Below are 20249 nucleotides of genomic sequence, written 5' to 3' on the forward strand. Positions count from 1 at the left end.
CAGATAATTAACAGAGCAACAAATAATTCAAAAATGGAATCAAGGCAGTGACTCCACTTAAAATAACATCAAAAGAAATAAAATACTGGGAATAATTTTTTAAAAAGAAATGCAAAATGTATATGCTTCATATTATAAAATACTGCTGAGAGAAATTTAAAAAGGTCTAAATCAGAAAGGTAAATAAAGAATACTCAATAGAATCAACTGAAACATAAATAAGAAAAAAACAGACTTTAACAAGATCTATGGATACAGTATAAAAACAGAAAACCAAATTTTTTCTCATATTCCAGAAATAAGTAATTCAGAAATACAAAAGAAAATATTTGATTGACTATAGCAAAACCAAATAGTACCAAAAATAAGCTTTCTTCTACAAAGTTTAAAGAAGGCCAAAAATAAGATTTAACTAGATGGAGGAAAAATCTTTTTTAAACTACTTAAAACAGCAGTTTTTCAAAATTAATTTGCAATTTTGATGTAAGTTAATCAACATTTAAAGAATTTTGGGTGAGATTGTCAAAGCAATTCTAAAACTCCTGGAAAAATGAATAAATGAAAAGTACTAAACTATTTCAAAAAGTGAGGAGAGGAGCTATTGCTTTACCAGATATAAATGTTTCCTGTAACATCTCAATAATTGAACTAAAATAGTAAACAATAGTCAACAGGTAGATCAGTGGGGCAGAAAATGTAGTTCCAAAATGGATTATGAATATATATAATAATTACCAATATTATTTGTGATAATTTAAGCAGGGTTATAATGGTTGCACACTAGGCAAACAATTTTAGATATGCATTCTATAGAACAAAGTCCATTTCAGATGAAACAAAGAGTTGAATGTCAAAAACATCCCCAAACCAAAACAAGCCAAATGAAAAAACATAAAACCATACAAATAGAAGGAATATGAGTGAATATTTATCTGATATGGAGGGAAAAGAACTTTATGACAAATAGTGAAAGATATCTTCAAGGAAGAAGTGAAATTAAGCTCATTAGTTAACAATAAAAGAATTCTTCAAAAATCTTAGACAAAAATAAAACAGAGGAGACTGATAAAATGTTCGCTGGAAATACGACAAATGAAACTTGACACAAGCACATAAACTCAATTGAGGGAAAAAAACAACAACAACCCAGAATCTGTCACCCTGCCAAAAAGAGTATGTATGAACAAATAACAGCATAAGAATATTAAACAAAAATTAAGATGAATATAGTTGATGAATGTAGTTGTACTTAGGAATACATCTAACTAGGGCCATCAACGATCTCTACAAGGAGAATTACAACATTCTGTTGAAAAAAAAATCAAATGCCTGATACAAAGAAATGGAAAAACTTCCCACGTTCATGAATCTGAAGCAGCAATATCACTAAAATGACCATACTACCCAAAGCAGTCTACAGATTCAATGCTATTTCTATTAAACTGTAAATGTCATTTTTTACAGAATTAAAATAATGTATTCTAAAATTCATAGGGAAATAAAAAGGAGCCCAATAGCCAAACCAAATCTAAGCAAAAAGAAAAAAGTCAGAGGCATCACACTATCTAACTTAAACTATACTGCAAGGCTATAGTAACCAAAAGAGCACACTACGGGTACAAAAACAGACACACAGCCCAATCGAAAAGGATAGAAAACTCAGAAATAGAACCACACACCTACATACTCAACAAAGTTGACAAGCAATGCAGAAAGGATTCCTTATTTAATAAATGGTGCTGGGATCTTCAACAAAGTTGAGGTGCTGATCCTCAACAAAGTTGACAAGCAATGTGGAAAGGACTCCTTATTTAATAAATGGTGCTGGGATACTTGGCTAACCATATGCTAGCCATATATAGAAGAAGGAAATTGGACTCCTACCTTTCACCATGTACACAAATTAACTCAAGATGGCTTAAGGAATTAAATGTAAGATGTAAAACTAAAAGTCCTAGCAGAAAACCTGGGAATCACAATTCTGGACATTGATCTTGGTAAAGACGTTATAACTATGTCCCCAAAATTAACTGTAATGAAACAAAAATTGACAAGTCAGACCTAATTAAGCTAAAGAGCTTCTCCACAGCAAAAGAAACTATCAACAAAGTAAATATATAATCCACAGAATGGGAGAAAATATTCTCTTTTTCAAAAAAATTATACTTTAAGGTCTGGGATACATGGGTAGAATATGCAGGTTTATTACATAGGTATACACATGCCATGGTTTTTTGCTGCACCCATCCACCCATCATCTACATTAGGTATTTCTCCTATTGCTCTCCCTCTTCTAGCCCCCCATCTCTTGACAGGCCCCTGGTGTGTGATGTTCCCCTCCCTGTGTCCATGTGTTCTCATTGTTCAACTCCCATTTATGAGTGAGAACGTGCGGTGTTTGGTTTTCTGTTCCTGTGTTAGTTTGCTGAGAATGATGGTTTCCACCTTCATCCATGTCTCTGCAAAGGACATGAACTCATCCTTTTTTATGGCTGCATATAATTCCATGGTGTATATGTGCCACATTTTCTTTATCCAGTCTATCATTGATGGGCATTTGGTTTGGTTCCAAGTCTTGGCTATTGTGAATAGTGCTGCAATAAACATACGTGTGCATGTGTCTTTACAGTAGAATGATTTATAATCCTTTGGGTATATACCCAGTAATGGGATTGATGGGACAAATGGTATTTCTGGTTCTAGATCCTTGAGGAATCACTACACTGTCTTCCACAATAGTTGAACTAATTTACACTCCCACCGACGGTGTAAAAGTGTTCCTATTTCTCCACATTCTCTCCAGTATCTGTTGTTTCCTGACTTTTTAATGATCGCCATTCTAACTGGTGTGAGATGGTATCTCACTGTGGTTTTGATTTGCATTTCTCTAATGAGCAGTGATGATGAGCTTTTTTTAAATATGTTTGTTGGCCTTATAAATGTCTTCTTTTGAGAAGTGTCTGCTCATATCCTTCACCCATTTTTTAGTTGTTTTTTTCTTGTAAATTTGTTTAAGTTCTTCATAGATTCTGGATATTAGCCCTTTGTCAGATGGATAGATTGCAAAAATTTTCTCCCATTCTGTAGGTCGCCTGTTCACTCTGATGATAGTTTCTTTTGCTGTGCAGAAGATCTTTAGTTTAATTAGATCCCATTTGTCAATTGTGGCTTTTGTGACCATTGTTTTTGGTGTTTTAGTCATGAAGTCCTTGCCCATGCCTATGTCCTGAATGGTATTGCCTAGGTTTTCTTCTTGGGGTTTTATTGTTTTAGGTCTTACATTTAAGTCTTTAATCCATCTTGAGTTATTTTTTGTATAAGGTGTAAGGAAGGGGTTCAGTTTCAGTTTCCTGCCCATGGCTAGCCAGTTTTCCCAACACCATTTATTGAATAGGGAATCCTTTCTCCATTGCTTGTTTTTGTCAGGTTTGTAAAGATCTGATGGTTGTAGATGTGTAGTGTTATTTATGAGATCTCTGTTCTGTTCCATTGGTCTATACATGTGTTTTGGTACCAGTACCATGCTGTTTTGGTCACTGTAGCCTTGTACTATAGTTTGAAGACAGATAGCTTGGTGCCTCCAGCTTTGTTCTTTTTGCTTAGAATTGTCTTGGCTGCATGGGCTCTTCTTTGGTTTCATATGAAATTTAAAGTAGTTTTTTCTAATTCTGTGAAGAAAGTCAATGGTAGCTTGATGGGAATAGCATTGAATCTGTAAATTACTTTGGGCAGTATGACCATTTTCACCATATTGATTCTTTCTATTCATGGGCATGGAATGTTTTTCCATTTGTTTGTGTCCTCTCTTGTTTCCTTGAGCAGTGGTTTGCAGTTATCCTTGAAAAGTTTCTTTATGTCCCTTGTAAGTTGTCTTTCAAGATATTTTATTCTCTTTGTAGCAATTGTGAATGGGAGTTCACTTACGATTTGGCTCTTTGTTAGTCTATTATTGGTGTATAGGAATGCTTGTGATTTTTGCACATTGACTGTATCCTGAGACTTTGCTGAAGTTGCTTAACAGCTTAAGGAGATTTTGGGAAGAGACGATGAGGTTTTCTAAATATACAATCATGTCATCTGCAACCAGAGACAATTTGACTTCCTCTCTTCCTATTTGAATAACCTTTATATTTCTCTCTCTTGCCAGGTTGCCCTGACCAGAATTTCCAATACTGTGTTGAGTAGGAGTGGTGAGAGAGGACATCCTTGTCTTGTGCCAGTTTTCAAAGGAAGTGCATCCAGCTTTTGACCATTCTGTATGATATTGGCTGTGGGTTTGTCATAAATAGCTCTTATTATTTTGAGATACATTCCATCAATACCTATTTTATTGAGATTTTTTAACATGAATGGTTTTAAATTTTATTGAAGGCCTTTTCTGCATCTGTTGAGATAATCATGTGGTTTCTGTCTTTGGTTCTGTTTATTTGATGGATTACATTTATTGGTTTTCATATGTTGAACCAGCCTTGCATCCCAGGGATGAAGCAGATTTGATCATGGTGGATAAGCTTTTTTATGTGCTGCTGGATTCAGTTTGCCAGTATTTTATTGAGGATTTTCACATTGATGTTCAACAGGGATATTGGCCTGACATTTTCTTCTTTTGTTTTCTATGCCAGGTTTTTAATATCAGGATGATGCTGGTCTCATAAACAGAGTTACGGAGGAGTCCCTCTTTTTCTGTTGTTTGGAATAGTTTCAGAAGGAACGATACTAGCTCCTCTTTGGTTTTGGTTTTGTTTTTTCTCTTTTATTCTTTGTTTCTTTTAAATTATACTTTAAGTTCTAGGGTACATGTGCACAACGTGCAGGTTTGTTACATATGTATACGTGTGCCATGTTGGTGTGCTGCACCCATTAACTCCTCATTTACATTAGGTATATCTCCCGATGCTATCCCTCCCCTCTGCTACCACCCCACATCTGCCCCAGTGTGTGATGTTCCCCCTCCTGTGTACAAGTCTTCTCATTGTTCAACTCCCACCTATGAGTGAAAACATGCAGTGTTTGGTTTTCTGTCCCTGCAATAGTTTGATGAGAATGATGGTTTCCAGCTTCATCCATGTCCCTACAAAGGACATGAACTCATTCTTTTTTATGGCTGCATAGTATTCCATGGTGTATATGTACCACATTTTCTTAATCCAGTCTATCATTGTTGGACATTTGGGTTGGTTCCAAGTCTTTGCTGTTGTGAATAGTGCCACAATAAACATAAGTGCGCATGTGTCTTTACAGCAGCATGATTTATAATCCTTTGGGTATATACCCACTAATGTGATGGCTGGGTCAAATAGTATTTCTAGGTCCAGATCCTTGAGAATCACCACACTGTCCTTCACAATGGTTGAACCAGTTTACAGTCCCACCAACAGTGTAAAAGTGTTCCTATTTCTCCACATCCTCTCCAGCACCTGTTGTTTCCTGACTTTTTAATGATCGCCATTCTAACTGGTGTGAGATGGTATCTCACTGTGGTTTTGATTTGCATTTCTCTGATGGCCAGTGATGATGAGCATTTTTTCATGTGTCTTTTGGCTGCATAAATGTCTTTTGAGAAGTGTCTGTTCATATCCATTGCCCACTTTTTGATGGGATTGTTTGTTTTTTTCTTGTAAATTTGTGTTCTTTGTAGATTCTGGATATTAGCCCTTTGTCACATGAGTAGATTGCAAAAATTTTCTCCCATTCTGTAGGTTGCCTGTTCACTCTGATAGTAGTTTCTTTTGCTGTGCAGAAGCTCTTTAGTTTAATTAGATCAAATTTGTCAATTTTGGCTTTTGTTGCCATTGCTTTTGGTGTTTTAGACATGACATCCTTGCCCATGCCTATGTCCTGAATGGTATTGCCTAGGTTTTCTTCTAGGGTTTTTATGGTTTTAGGTCTAACATTTAAGTCTTTAATCCATCTTGAATTAATTTTTGTATAAGATGTAAGGAAGGGATCCAGTTTCAGCTTTCTATATATGGCTAGCCAGTTTTCCCAGTACCATTTATTAAATAGGGAATCATTTCCCTATTGCTTGTTTTTCTCAGGTTTGTCAAAGATCAGATGGTTGTAGATGTGTGGTACTTTTTCTGAGGGCTCTGTTCTGTTCTATTGGTCTATATCTCTGTTTTGGTAGCAGTACCATGCTGTTTTGGTTACTGTAGCCTTGTAGTATAGTTCAAAGTCAGGTAGCGTCATGTTTGCAGCTTTGTTCTTTTTGCTTAGGATTGTCTTGGCAATGCGGGCTCTTTTTTGGTTCCATATGAACTTTAAAGTATTTTTTCCAATTCTGTGCAGAAAGTCATTGGTAGCTTGATGAGGATGGCGTTAAATCTATAAATTACCTTGGGCAGTATGGCCATTTTCATGATATTGATTCTTCCTGTCCATGAGCATGTAATGTTCTTCCATTTGTTTGTATCCTCTTTTATTTCATTGAGCAGTGGTTTGTAGTTCTCCTTGAAGAGGTCCTTCACATCCCTTGTAAGTTGGATTCCTAAGTATTTTATTCTCTTTGAAGCAATTGTGAATGGGAGTTCACTCATGATTTGGCTCTCTGTTTGTCTGTTATTGGTGTATAAGAATGCTTGTGATTTTTGCACATTGATTTTGTATCCTGAGACTTTGCTGAAGTTGCTTATCAGCTTAAGGAGATTTGGGGCTGAGAAGATGGGTTTTTGTAAATATACAATCATGTCATCTGCAAACAGAGACAATTTGACTTCCTCTTTTCTTAATTGAATACCCTCTATTTCTTTTTCCTGCCTGATTGCCCTGGCCAGAACTTCCAACACTATGTTGAATAGGAGTGGTGAGAGAGGGCATCCCTGTCTTGTGCCAGTTTTCAAAGGGAATGCTTCTAGTTTTTGCGCATTCAGTATTATATTGGTTGTGGGTCTGTCATAAATAGCTCTTATTATTTTGAGATACGTCCCATCAATGCCGAATTTATTGAGAGTTTTTTAGCATGAAGGGCTGTTGAATATTGTCAAAGGCCTTTTCTGCAACCCTCTCCTGAATGACTACTTGGTACATAATTAAAAGAAGGCAGAAATAAAGATGTTCTTTGAAACAAACGAGAACAAAGACACCATATACCAGAATCTCTGGGACACATTTAGAGCATTGCGTAGAGGGAAATTTATAGCAGTAAATGCCCACAAGAGAAAGCAAAAGAGATCTAAAATTGACACCCTTACATCACAATTGAAAGAACTAGAGAAGCAAGAGCAAACACATTCAAAAGGTAGCAGAAAGCAAGAAGTAACTAAGATCAGAGCAGAATTGAAGGAGATAGAGACACAAAAAACCCTTCAAAAAATCAATGAATCCAGGAGCTGGTTTTTTAAAAAGATCAACAAAATTGATAAACTGCTAGCAAGACTAATAAAGAACAAAAGAGAGAAGAATCAAATACATGGAATAAAAAATGATGAAGGGGATATCACCACCGGTCTCACAGAAATACAAACTACCATCAGAGAATACTATAAACACCTCTACACAAACAAACTGGAAAATCTAGAAGAAATGGATAAATTCCTGGACACATACTCCCTCCCAAGACTAAACCAGAAAAAAGTTGAATCCCTGAATAGACCAATAACAGGCTTTGAAATTGAGGCAATAATCAATAGCCTACCAACCAAAAAAAGTCCAGGACCAGACGGATTCACAGCCGAATTCTACCAGAGCTACAAGGAGGAGCTGGTACCATTCTTCTGAAACTATTCCAATCAATAGAAAAAGAGGGAAATCTTCCTAACTCATTTTATGAGGCCAGCATCATCCTGATACCAAAGCCTGGCAGAGACACAACAAATAAAGAGAATTTTAGACCAGTATCCCTCATGAACACCAATGCAAAAATCCTCAATAAAATACTGGCAAACCGAACCCAGCAGCACATCAAAAAGTGTATCCACCAAGATCAAGTGGGCTTCATCCGTGGGATGCAAGGCTTGTTCAACATAAGCAAATCAGTAAACATAATCCAGCATATAAACAGAACCAAAGACAAAAACCACATGATTATCTCAATAGATGCAGGTACCAGCTCCTCTTTGTACCTCTGATAGAATTCAGCTGTGAATCTATCTGGTCCTGGGTATTTTTTGCTCAGGAGGCTATTAATTACTGTCTCAATTTCAGAACCTGTTATTGGTGTTCTCAGGGATTTGATTTCTTCCTGGCTTAGTCTTGGGAGGGTGTATGTGTCCAGGAATTTATCCATTTCTTCTAGATTTTCCAGTTTATTTGTGTAGTGGTGTTTACAGTATTCTCTTATGGTAATTTGTATTTCTGTGGGATCAGTGGTGATATTGCCTTTATCATTTTTATTGTGTCTATTTGATTCTGCTCTCTTTTCTTTATTAGTCTGGCTAGTGGTCTGTTTTGTTAATCTTTTCTAAAAAACACCTTCTGGATTCATTGATGTTTTGAAAGGTTTTACGTGTCTCTATTTCCTTTGGTTCTTCTCTGATTTCAGTTTTTTCTTATTTTCTGCTGGCTTTTGAATTCGTTTGCTCTTCCTTCTCTAGTTCTTTTAATTGTGATGTTAGGGTGTAGATTTTAGATCTTTCCCACTTTATCCTGTGGTCATTTAGTGCCATAAATTTCCCTCTAAAGACTTCTTTAGCTGTGTCCCAGAGATGCTGCTATATTGTATCTTTGTTTTCATTGGTTTCAAAGAACTTACTTATTTCTGCCCTAATTTCTTTATTTACCCAGTAGTCATTCAGAAGTAGGTGGTTCCGTTTCCATGTAGTTGTGCAGCTTCGAGAAAGTTTCTTAATCCTGAGTTCTAATTTGATTGCACTGTGGTCTGAGAGACAGTTTGTTGTAATTTGTTTTTTTTTGCATTTGCTGAGGAGTCTTTTACTTCCAATTATGTGGTCAATTTTAGAATAAGTGCACTGTAGTGCTGAGAAGAATGTATATTCAGTTGATTTGAGGTGGAGAGTTCTGTAGATGTCTATTAAGTTCACTTGGTCCAGAGCTGAGTTCAAGTCCTGAATATCCTTGTTAATTTTCTGTCTCATTGATCTGTCCAATATTGAGAGTGGGGTGTTAAAGTCTCCCACTATTATTGTGTGGGAGTCTAAGTCTCTTTGTTGGACTCTAAGAACTTCCTTTATGAATCTGGGTGCTCCTGTATTGGGTGCATATATATTTAGGATAGTTAGTTCTTGTTGCATTGATTCCTTTACCGTTAGGTAATGCCCTTCTTTGTCTCTTTTGATCTTTGTTGGTTTAAAGTCTGTTTTATCAGAGACTAGGATTGCAACCCTTGCTTTTTTTTGCTTCCCATTTTCTTGGTAAATATTTCTCCATCCCTTTATTTTTGAGTCTATGTGTGTCTTTGCACATGAGATGGGTCTCCTGAATACAGCACAGTAATGGGTCTTGACTCTTTATCCAATTTGCCAGTCTGTGTCTTTTAATTGGGGGCATTTAGCCCATTTACATTTAAGGTTAATATTGTTATGTGTGAATTTGATCCTGTCATTATGATGCTAGCTGGTTATTTTACCCATTAGTTGATTCAGTTTCTTCATAGCGTCAATGATCTTTACAATTTGATACGTTTTTGCAGTGGCTGGTACCAGTTTTCTCTTTCCATGTTTAGTGCTTCCTTCAGGAGCTCTTGTAAGGCGGGCCTGGTGGTGACAAAATCTCTCAGCATTTGTTTGTCTGTAAAGGATTTTATTTCTCCTTCGCTTATGAAGCTTAGTTTGGCTGGATATGAAATTCTGGTTTGAAAATTCTTTCCTTTAAGAATGTTGAATATTGGCCCCCACTCTCTTCTGGCTTGTAGGGTTTCTGCAGGGAGATCCACTGTTAGTCTGATGGGCTTCCCTTTGTGGGAAACCTGACCTTTCTCTTTGGTTGCCCTTAAGATTTTTTCCTTCATTTCAGCCTTGGTGAATCTGATGATTATGTGTCTTGGGGTTGCTCTTCTTGAGGATTATCTTTGAGGTGTTCTCTGTATTTCCTGAATTTGAATGTTGGCCTGTCTTGCTAGGTTGGGGAAGTTCTCCTGGATTATATCCTGAAGAGTGTTTTCCAACTTGGTTCCATTCTCCCCAGCACTTTCAGGTACACCAATCATATGTAGGTTTGGTCTTTTCACATAGTGCCATATTTCTTGGAGGCTTTGTTCACTCCTTTTCATTGTTTTCTCTAATCTTGTCTTCATGCTTTATTTCATTAAGTTGATCTTCAGTCTCTGATATCTTTCTTCCACTTGATTGATTCAGCTATTGATACTTGTGAATGCTTCACGAATTTCTCGTGCTCTGCTTTTCAGCTCCATCAGGTCATTTGTGTTCTTCTCTAAACTGATTATTGCAGTTAGCAATCCCTGTAACCTTTTTTCAAGGCTCTTAGCTGCCTTGCATTAGATTAAAACATGCTCCGTTAGCTTGGAGGAGTTTGTTATTACCCACCTTCTGAAGCCTACTTCTGTCAATTCATCAAACTCATTCTCTGTCCAGTTTTGTTCCCTTGCTGGAGAGGAGTTATGATCCTTTGGAGGAGAAGAGTCATCTGGTTTTTGGAATTTTCAGCCTTTTTGGGTTGGTTTTTTCTCATCTTTGTGGATTCATCTACCTTTGGTCTTTGATGTTGGTGACTTCGGATGGGGTTTTTTTGTGGACGTCCCTTTTTATTGATGTTGATGCTATTCTTTTCTGCTTGTTAGTTTTCTTTCTAACAGTCAGTCCCCTCTGCTGCAGGTCTGCTGGAGTTTGCTGGAGGTTCACTCCAGACCCTGTCTGCCTGGGTATCACCAGTGGAGGCAGCAGAACAGCGAAAATTGCCGCCTGTTCCTTCCTCTGGAAGCTTTGTCCCAGAGGGGCACCCACCAGATGCCAGGTGGAGCTCTCCTTTATGAGGTTTCTGTCGATCCTGCTGGGAGATGTCTCCAAGTCAGGAAGCATGGGTCTCAGGGACCCACTTGAAGAGGCAGTCTGTCCCTTAGCAGAGCTCGAGCGCTGTTCTGGGGGATCCATTGCTGTCTTCAGAGCTGGCAGGCAGGAATGTTTAAGTCGGCTGAAGCTGTGCCCACAGCCACCCCTTCCCCCAGGTGCTCTGTCTCAGGGAGATAGGATTTTTATCCATAAGCCCCTGACCGAGGCTGCTGTCTTTCTTTAAGAGATGCTCTGCCTAGAGGGGAGGAAGGTAGAGAGGCAGTCTGGCTACAGCGGCTTTGCCAAGCTGTGGTAGGCCCCACCAAGTTCGAACTTCCCAGTGGCTTTGTTTATACTGTGAGGGGAAAACCACCTACTCAAGCTTCAGTAATGGTGCATGGCCCTCCCCCCACCAAGCTCGAGCATCCCAGGTCAGCTTCAGACTGCTGTTCTGGCAGTGAGAATTTCAAGCCGGTGGATCTTAGCTGGCTGGGTTCCATGCGAATGGGATCTGCTGAGCTAGACCACTTGGCTCCCTGGCTTCAGCCCACTTTCCAGGGGAGTGAATGGTTCTGGCTTGCTGGCATTCAAGGTGCCACTGGGATATGAAAAGAAAATATCCTGCAGCTAGCTCAGTGTCTGCCAAAGTGGCCTCCCAGTTTTGTGCTTGAAACCCAGGGCCCTGTTGGTGTAGGCATCCGAGGGTATCTACTGGTGTGCAGGTTGTGAAGACCACAGGAAAAGTGTAGTATCTGGGCCAGAATGCACTGTTTGTTATGGCACAGTCCCTCACAACTTCCCCTGCATAGGGGAGGGAGTTCCCCGACCCCTTACACTTCCCAGGTCAGGTGACGCCCCACCCTGCTTCAGTTTCCTTTCCATGTGCTGCGCCCTCTAACCATTCCCAATGAGATGAGCTGGGTACCTCAGCTGGAAATGCAGAAATTACCCACTTTCTGTGTTGATCTCGCTGGGAGCTGTAGACTGGAGTTGTTCCTATTTGGCCATCTTGCCAGCCACTCTGGAGAACATATTCTTAAACTATGCATCTGACAAAGGTCTAATATCCAGAATCCATAAGGATCTTAAATCAACATGTAAAAAACAACCCCATTAAAAAATGGACATAAAACAAGAACAGACACTTCTCAAAAGAAGACATACATGCAGCCAAAAAATATAGAAACAATTTTCCTAATCACTAATCGTCAGCAAAACATAAATCAAAACCACAATGGGATACCATCTCATACCAGTCAGAATGGCTAGTATTGAAAAAGTAAAAACTAACAGATGTTAATGGGACTGTGGAGAAAAGTAAATGCTTACACACTGTTGGTGGGAATGTAAATTAATTTAGTCGCTGTGGAAAATAGTTTTGAGATTTCTCAAAGAATATAAAACAGAACTATCATTTGATCCAGCTATCCCATTACTGGGTATATGCTCAAAGGAAAATAAATCTTTCTGGTAAAAAGTCACATGCAGTCATGTGTTCATTACAGATGTATTCATAATAGCAAAGACATGGATTTAACCTAAATGCCCATCAACAGTGAACTGGAAAAAGAAAATGTGGCACAGATACACCATGGAATACTATGCAGCCATAAAAAAGAAATAAATCCTGTTCTTTGCAGCAACATGGATGCAGCTGGAAGCCATTATCCTAAGTAAATCAACACAGAAACAGAAAACCAAATACTGCATATTCTAATTTGTTAGTGGGAGCTAAACATTGAGTACATATGGTCATAAATATGGGAACAATATATACTGGGGATTACTAGAGGGAAGAGAGATGGAGGAGGACAAAGTTTGAAAAACTATGTCCTGGGCACTATGCTCACTGCTTGACAGGATCATTCGTACACCAAAACTTAGCAACACCCAATTTACCCATGTAGTAATCCTCTACATGTACTCCCTGAGCCAAAAACGGAAAACAACAACAATAAAAAACCTGAAAAATAGAAGAAAACAGGAAAGATAAAATACATTAAATTTAAAAAGAAATACTTAAAAATCTGTATTAAGAAGACAACCTAATTTTAAAGAAATGAAAATATTTCATTAAACACTTCACCAATGAAGATATACAAATATAAAATAAGACATAAAAGATGCTCAATATCATTAGTAATCACAGAGATGCAAATTAAAATCGCAATGGAATATCAGTACATATCCATTTAAATGGCTAAAATTAAAATGACTAAAATAAGAAGTGTTGGAAATGAAGAGGAGAAATTGAGACTCACACACAAAGCTGGTATTGGTGATGTAAAAGTGTATCATCTCTTGGAAAAATAGTACCGTTTTTCTTAAAGTTAAATATACACATAAAATATAACAATAATTCCAGAATTAAGTATATACCCCAGAATAGCAAAAACTGTGTTCATACAAAAACCTGTATACATTTAGTAGTTGTATCAGTTTCCTAAGGCTGCATGGTAAATAAAAAATTTGGTGTCTTAAAACAACAGACATTTATTATATTACATTCTAACCTTGAAATCAAGGTGTCAGCAAAGTTGAAGGCTCTAGGGAAGAATCCTTCCCTGCTTCTTCCTAGCTGCTGGTGGTTGCCAGCAATCCCTGGCTTTCCTTTGCTTTCAGCTGCATCTTTCCAATTTTTGCCTTTGCCTTCACACATCCATCTTCCCTCTGAGTATGTGTGTCAGTGTTTCTGCCTCTCCTCCTTTTTATAGGGGCACCAATCACATTGGATTTAGGGCCATCCTATCCCAGTATGACCCCCTCTTAACTTGTCACATCCATAAAGACTTTATTTCCAAATAAAGTCACATTCTGAAGTTCTAGATGGGCATAAGATTTTGTGGGACACTATTTGACACACTGCAGTTTACCATCTGTCCCCCAGATTCTCATTCATCCCACATGCAAGTTATATTCACCCCAGTCCTATGTCATCCAAAGTATGGATCCATTCTAGTATTAATGGTAAGTTTCAAATTTTCTGTAAATATCAGCTCAAAAAGTTTCAATTTAATTATCTCAATTATTAGAATCAGAAATGAGTGAAACTCAGGATATGGTCCATTATGAGGCAAAATTGCTCTTCATTCACAGACCTGTGAAACTACAAAACAAGTATCTGCTTCCAAGATACAGTGGTAGGGCAGGCATAGGATAGACACTGACATCGTGAAAAGGAGAAGATGGAAGGAATAAAGGGTCATTTGTCCCAAGCAAGTTCAAAACTCAGCAAAGCAAATTCCGTTAGGCCCCAAGGCCTGAGAATAACTTTCTGTGGCCCATGCCCTGCCCTTGAGAGCCATACTTTCTCTTTCTCTTTGATCTGATAGTTACTTTGCACACTGTGACTGAGTGAATGTGTGTACTTCCACATATGCATATGCCAGGTCTGAATTTTTCACTCTGATGCAACTTGGGTGACCAAAACCGTGATTTTATTGTTTTGTAACTGAACCAACTAGGTTTAACTCTTCCTTTTGGTAAATAGCAAATTTCTTGGTATATTTACATCCAGGTAAATTGAGTCATTTGCAGACATTTATTTGTCTTCTTTAGGAAAATAGTCTAATTGAGGGGTTTCCCCTTTGTTTTTACTTTCTTTACTTTCTACCTCTCTCCAATGAGTAATCTAAATGCTGAGTTGGGTAGAGGCAGTGGGTGTATGCATTGTCCTAGCATTAACTAGATCAAGGTATCTGGCCCATCATTGTCCTCTGTTCTCTGTGGGTGTCTTCAGCACTAGTCTTAGGGCATTTGCCTGCATACACTGACACCTGCTGAGGTATCTTGTTTTCACCATGATCACTGGTCAACAGCCCACATTCTGCCTCTTCAGCCTTTGTGCTTCTCCCTGGGACATAGGACAGGAAGATTTTATACAACCCTGTGAGGACTTAAATTTTGCTGATGGTCTTAGGCCCATCTGCCTAGGTATTCCACTCAGATTTTTTTTTTTAATCTTATTGTGCATAACCTCACCAGACAGTTAGCTTCTCTACAGGGTTTTCAGTCTCGGAAGTAAGGCAAGAAATACCTTTCTTATGGTGCCCTCCAAAACTTATCTGGGAATTCCATCATCTCCTTCTGCTGGGATATCTGCTGTATACTTCAAAGTTGAAGGCCATGAATTATTTCTATATAATCCATAAGTCACTTACTATATTGCTCCATTTTCTGTTTACATGATAAAAATACTCCTCTAATGATGAAATGATTTTATTTCTTCATTCCATGTAAACAAAACTGTTACAATTGTCATGATTTTTCTCAGTGTTATCATTTTTAGCTTAAACTTTCCGCCTTTGAATTTGAATTCAAAAAAAGTCGTTTGTCTCTCAATATCTCAGCCTTGTGAAAACCTCTGCTTTCAAGGTTGTTGCTTCTTCAATGAATTTTAAAAGCCTGTTTTGGAACTTAATGCCAACATTTTGACTCTGTGTTCTAAGCAATATATGCCCTCCCTCAGAGGGCACTGAAAAGCTACTTTTCACTTTCTGCCTAAATGGTGTTAAAAGGGTAGTACAAAGAAGCATTGGTGTATCTGGAGTGTGAAAGAGCCTGCTTGGTAACATTTTAAAAATCTTCCTTTTTATTTAATAATATCCTTTTCTTTTGTTCTTACTTCCATCCATATGTGCAACTATCTATGGACATCTATGTTTATACACACACACAAACACCTATGCATATACACATATTCACAGGTACACACACACATATTATATTTTTATTCTCTTTATCATTTTCATGTTAGAAGATATTATCTATGTCATTTTTTTTCCTGATGGCTAAATGCTCAGGCATCTTAATAGCTATCCTTTGTTAATTTGCTTGACAAATATTATTGAGCTCTCTCTAGATGTCAGAATTGTAGCAGACACTGGAGAAGATATAATCTCTGCTCACAAAAGAACCATAGGATAGAGGGAGGGAGTGATTGGCAAGCATTTTAGTCAGGGTTCCACAGAGAAAACACTACACACACACACACACACGCACACACACACACACACACATATACACATTTATGTATGTGTATATATACATGCATGTGTGTATATACATATACACATACATATATGTGTATACACACACATATATACACACACATACATATATACACATACATATATGTGTGTATATATATACAGATATACACATGCAGGTTGGAAACCCAGGATAGAGACCAGGAAAGAGTTGATGCTGCAGTTCAGGTCAAAAGGCAGCCTAGAGGTAGAATTTCTTCTTTCTTAGGGACCTCAGTCTTTTTCTCTTAAAGCCTTCAACTGGTTTAGTGGGCCTCCCCACGTTATTGGAGATAATTTACTTCACTCAAAGTCTACTAATTTAAATGTTATTCAGATCTAAAAAAATAACCCTCACAGTAACATCTAGACTGAAGTTTGACCAAAAACTGGCTACTGTAGCCTAGTCAGGTTGATACATAAAATTAGCCATCAGAGCAAGTAAACAGAAAATTAAAGTGTGATAACTGATAAATTTGTAGAGAGTTATGAATATGTTTTTTTGACAGAAAGGATCTTCTCTTAAAAGATAGAGACTTCATGATATGCAGCTTAGTCCATTCAGGCTGCTCTAAAAAATGCCATAAACTTCATGGCTTGTAAATGGGAGAAATTTAATCTCTTACAGTTCTAGAGGCTAAGCAATCCAAGATCAGGGCACCAGCAGATTCAGTGTCTGGTGAGGGTCTGTTTTTGCTTCATAGGTGGCACCTTCTTACCACATCCTCATACGATGAAAGAGCTCCCTGAGGTCTCTTTTATAAGGGCATTACTCTTATTAATGAGGGCAGAGTTCCTGTGACCTAATCATCTCTCAAAGGCTCCATTCTCTAATACTGTTACATTGGGAATATCTGGTTCAACATATGAATTTTGGGGGCCTACAAACATTCAGAGTATAGAAGCATGCTATTATATCAATGCCAGAAATTAGGGAAAAAAATTCCTAAGCATTTATATCCTGTTTCATTTGTATTCTTAATTTTTTTATTTGTTTTCCTTTTTGAAATATTTTAAAATACTACCAGATATAACTGAAAAAAATATTTATGACAGTGGCAGAGTAAGGTAAAATATTTAAATCAAGACAAGTATTTTATTGTTTATTAATCAATGTTGCACTGAGCTTATCAAAGATTTAAAGAGAAAACAAGTGAGTGAAGAATGTACTGCTAACAATGAAATGTTTTTAGTCCTGAAATCTTACAAGGCATTTAGTCAGGTATTCCATTTTCCCTGATGGCTGGCTAGATATTTGAGACAAATGAAATTCTGGATCTGGACTGGTACAAGACTATAGCCTGTTAGGAACCAGGCTGCACACCAGGAGGTGAGTGGCAAGTGAGTGAGCACCACTGCCTGAGCTCCACCTCCTGTCAGATCAGTGGGGTATTAGATTCTCATAGGAGCGCGAACTCTATTGTGAGCTGTGTATGCAAGAGATCTAGACTGCATAGTCCGTTTGAGAATCTAATGCCTGATGATCTCAGGTGGAACAATTTCATCCCAAGACCATCCCCCACAAAAATCTGTGGAAAAATTGTCTTCCATGAAACCAGTCTCTGGTGCCGAAAAGGTTGGGGACTGCTGATGCATAGAAAATATTTTCTTCAAAACTCCAAAATGCTAATACAAACAAAGTTTGAGATTTAAAGTTTTCCACATGACACAGATGACCTAATACAAGGAGTAACTTACTTACAGGACATCCCTAAGTCCCAGATTAAAGTGGATTATTTTACCAGAGTTCGAAAGTTTGACAGGCCTATGGCTTTGTTCTTTATGGCTGGAAAAAGCATAGCACAGCTACGCTGTCTTCACTGGATCTATAAATATCTCAAGGGTAAAAGTAGTTCTGTTTCAGTCAGGGACCATTCAAGACATAAACCATGCTGACTATTTTAACACATAAAATTTAATATAAAAATTGTTTTTGTTAACTAGGTAGACAGAACACAAAAAGCAAAAGGGACATGAATATCATAATGGTAGGTGGTAGGACATAAATATCTACCAGTCCTAGTCCTGAGGGAAAAATGAATGAGAATGGAATTATTAAATCTTAGAGACTTGAAAAAGAGGAATCACAAAGGTGTGACGAAGACCTTTGGGAAGGAGTAATGTATGGCTGGTGCTGTTATCTCTGAGGAGAGTAGTTCTGATAGTATAGAAAAGCTGCAATGTGGACCAAACAGCTGCTCTCACTAGGGTCAAGAACAAAGTCACTGCTATGATTACACCAGTAGGAACAGGAAGAAAAATAACAGGAAGAAACAAGTCTGTTTTTCCTATCTATCTATCTCCCTCTGGCATGTCCTATTGGCAGAGCCAGTTGACAGAGAGGAACTGTGTGTTGCAGAGTCTCAGCTACAGAGTGTACATATACCTCCCCAGTCTCTCATCCTTTCATGGACAAACCTTAATTTGGTATTTTCACACTTGCACATTATTGGTAGGAATATAAAGTAGTACAGTTATTACAGAAAAAGTATGAAGATTCCTAAAAATAAGTAAATATAGAACTACCATATGATCGAGGAATCTCACTATTGGGTATATATCCAAAGGAAATGAAGCTAGAATATTGAAGAGATATCTAAGCTCCCATGTTTAGTGCAGTGTTTTTCACAATAGCCATGATATGAAATCAACCTAAGTGTCCACTAACAGATGAAAGGATAAAGAAAATGTGATGTATATATACAATGAAATACTATTCCACCATAAAAAAGAAAATATCCTGTTATTTGTGACAAAATGGATGAACCTCAAGGATATTATGTTAGGCTTAGGAAGACAAATACCTCATGATCTCACTCATATGTGACATGTAAAAATGTTGATCTCATAGAAGAAGGAAGAAGAATGATGGTCACCAGGAGTGGACGTGATGGTCATTAAGGGAGTTGGGAAGATGTTACTCAAAGATTACAAAATTTGAGTTTGCTAGGAGGAATAATTTCAAGAGATCTGAGGTAGAACACGGTGTCTAAGAGAGTAGATTTTAAGTGTTTTCATTGCATGAAATAAAGCATATGTTAATTAGCTTACTTTAGCCATAATACAATGTAATGTATATTTCAGTAAACTGTATATTTCAAACATCATGTTTTACTTGATAAATACATACAATTTTGTCTATAAAGTTAAAAAGATAAAAAATAAAATACAAAAATACATATATCAGGAGGGATGATAAAGTATTCTAATTCCTTTGCATTTTCATGGGTAAAAATAAAGGTATCAATTAATATTCGATTTTCATAAATTAAACATGCATGTTAAAAAGTAACCATGAAAATATTAGAAATAGAGCACATAGCCTCTAAATTGGTAGAGGGGAAAGAATTGGAATTGCCAAAAGTCAGTTTAATAGAAGGAAATATGAGAGAGAAAAAGGAACATAGAGTTGGCATGACAAACAGAAAGCACATAATAAGATCCTAGGTTTAAATCCACATATATAAGTAATTTCATTTAACGTAAATGAAGAAAGTGATCTAATTTAAAGAAAAACATTGCCAGCTTGGATAAAACAATGACAAAATTCAGCTATATGTTGTTCACAAGAGCCACATCTAAAATATAAGGATATAGAAGTTTTGAAAGAAAGGATACAAAAGATTTGCCAAGAAATCCTAACAAAAGATGGCACAACTACTGATTTGTCCAGACTACAAAAGAATCTACATGCCCAGTCCTAGATGTGAAAAAAGACTTTCAAATGTGATAGACAGGAAACTTTTGCTTGATCTTGCCAGGGCTGCAACCTGTGGCTCTGCCAACTTGCGCTTCCAGCAACACAAGGCCAAGTCACGGTCTCTGACTTCTGCTTATCACCACTTTGTGTAGCCTGAGGAAAAATTGATATGAATCAGGACTTTTGATACTAAATCAAGACATACATTCACATGGGAAAAGACAGAAAATCTTATTCAACCTGGGCAATCTTTCCATTTCCTGAATCTCAAAGACAGTAGTTCTATTTTTAAAAGAATAATCAGAGGAAGCAGAAATTACCTACAGTTGAAAGCTCTGAAAAAAAAATAAGTTTTGGGAAGATAAATGGTTTATTCACAAAGCTAGTTTTATTTTTCTGTCATTTTATCCTCAATTTGTTTTTTGCTTAACAATTTGGAGGCCATTAAATCCAGAAAATAAAATAACTTCAATTATAATGTTGATAGTTTCTTTTTTCAAGTTCTTTCCTATTCTTTATAACCTAGAAAAGATTGACATTAGATTTATCCAGTTTCAAAATATTATATCTCTTTTGAATTTAAAAGTAATAAAAAGCAGATATTAATTGAAATTGCTGTCT

At 37.2% G+C, this 20249-nt stretch overlaps 1 protein-coding gene and 1 long non-coding RNA gene across 3 annotated transcripts in view; one reads left to right on the forward strand and one right to left on the reverse strand.

The window, feature by feature from the left end:
• Window positions 1-20249, forward strand: part of LOC107984361 (uncharacterized) — a 552293-nt gene that overhangs the window by 429972 nt on the left and 102072 nt on the right. The gene's annotated exons all lie outside the window — the stretch shown is intronic.
• The window catches only part of RAB38 (RAB38, member RAS oncogene family), a 371729-nt gene continuing 365470 nt past the window's right edge, over window positions 13991-20249 (reverse strand). Inside the window, exon 4 of the mRNA XM_017017456.3 lies at window positions 13991-19781. The gene's annotated coding sequence lies outside the window, so the exon portion shown is untranslated. The remainder of the gene's footprint in view (window positions 19782-20249) is intronic.

This window comes from Homo sapiens, chromosome 11, assembly GCF_000001405.40.
Source record: "Homo sapiens chromosome 11, GRCh38.p14 Primary Assembly".
NCBI lineage: Eukaryota > Metazoa > Chordata > Mammalia > Primates > Hominidae > Homo > Homo sapiens.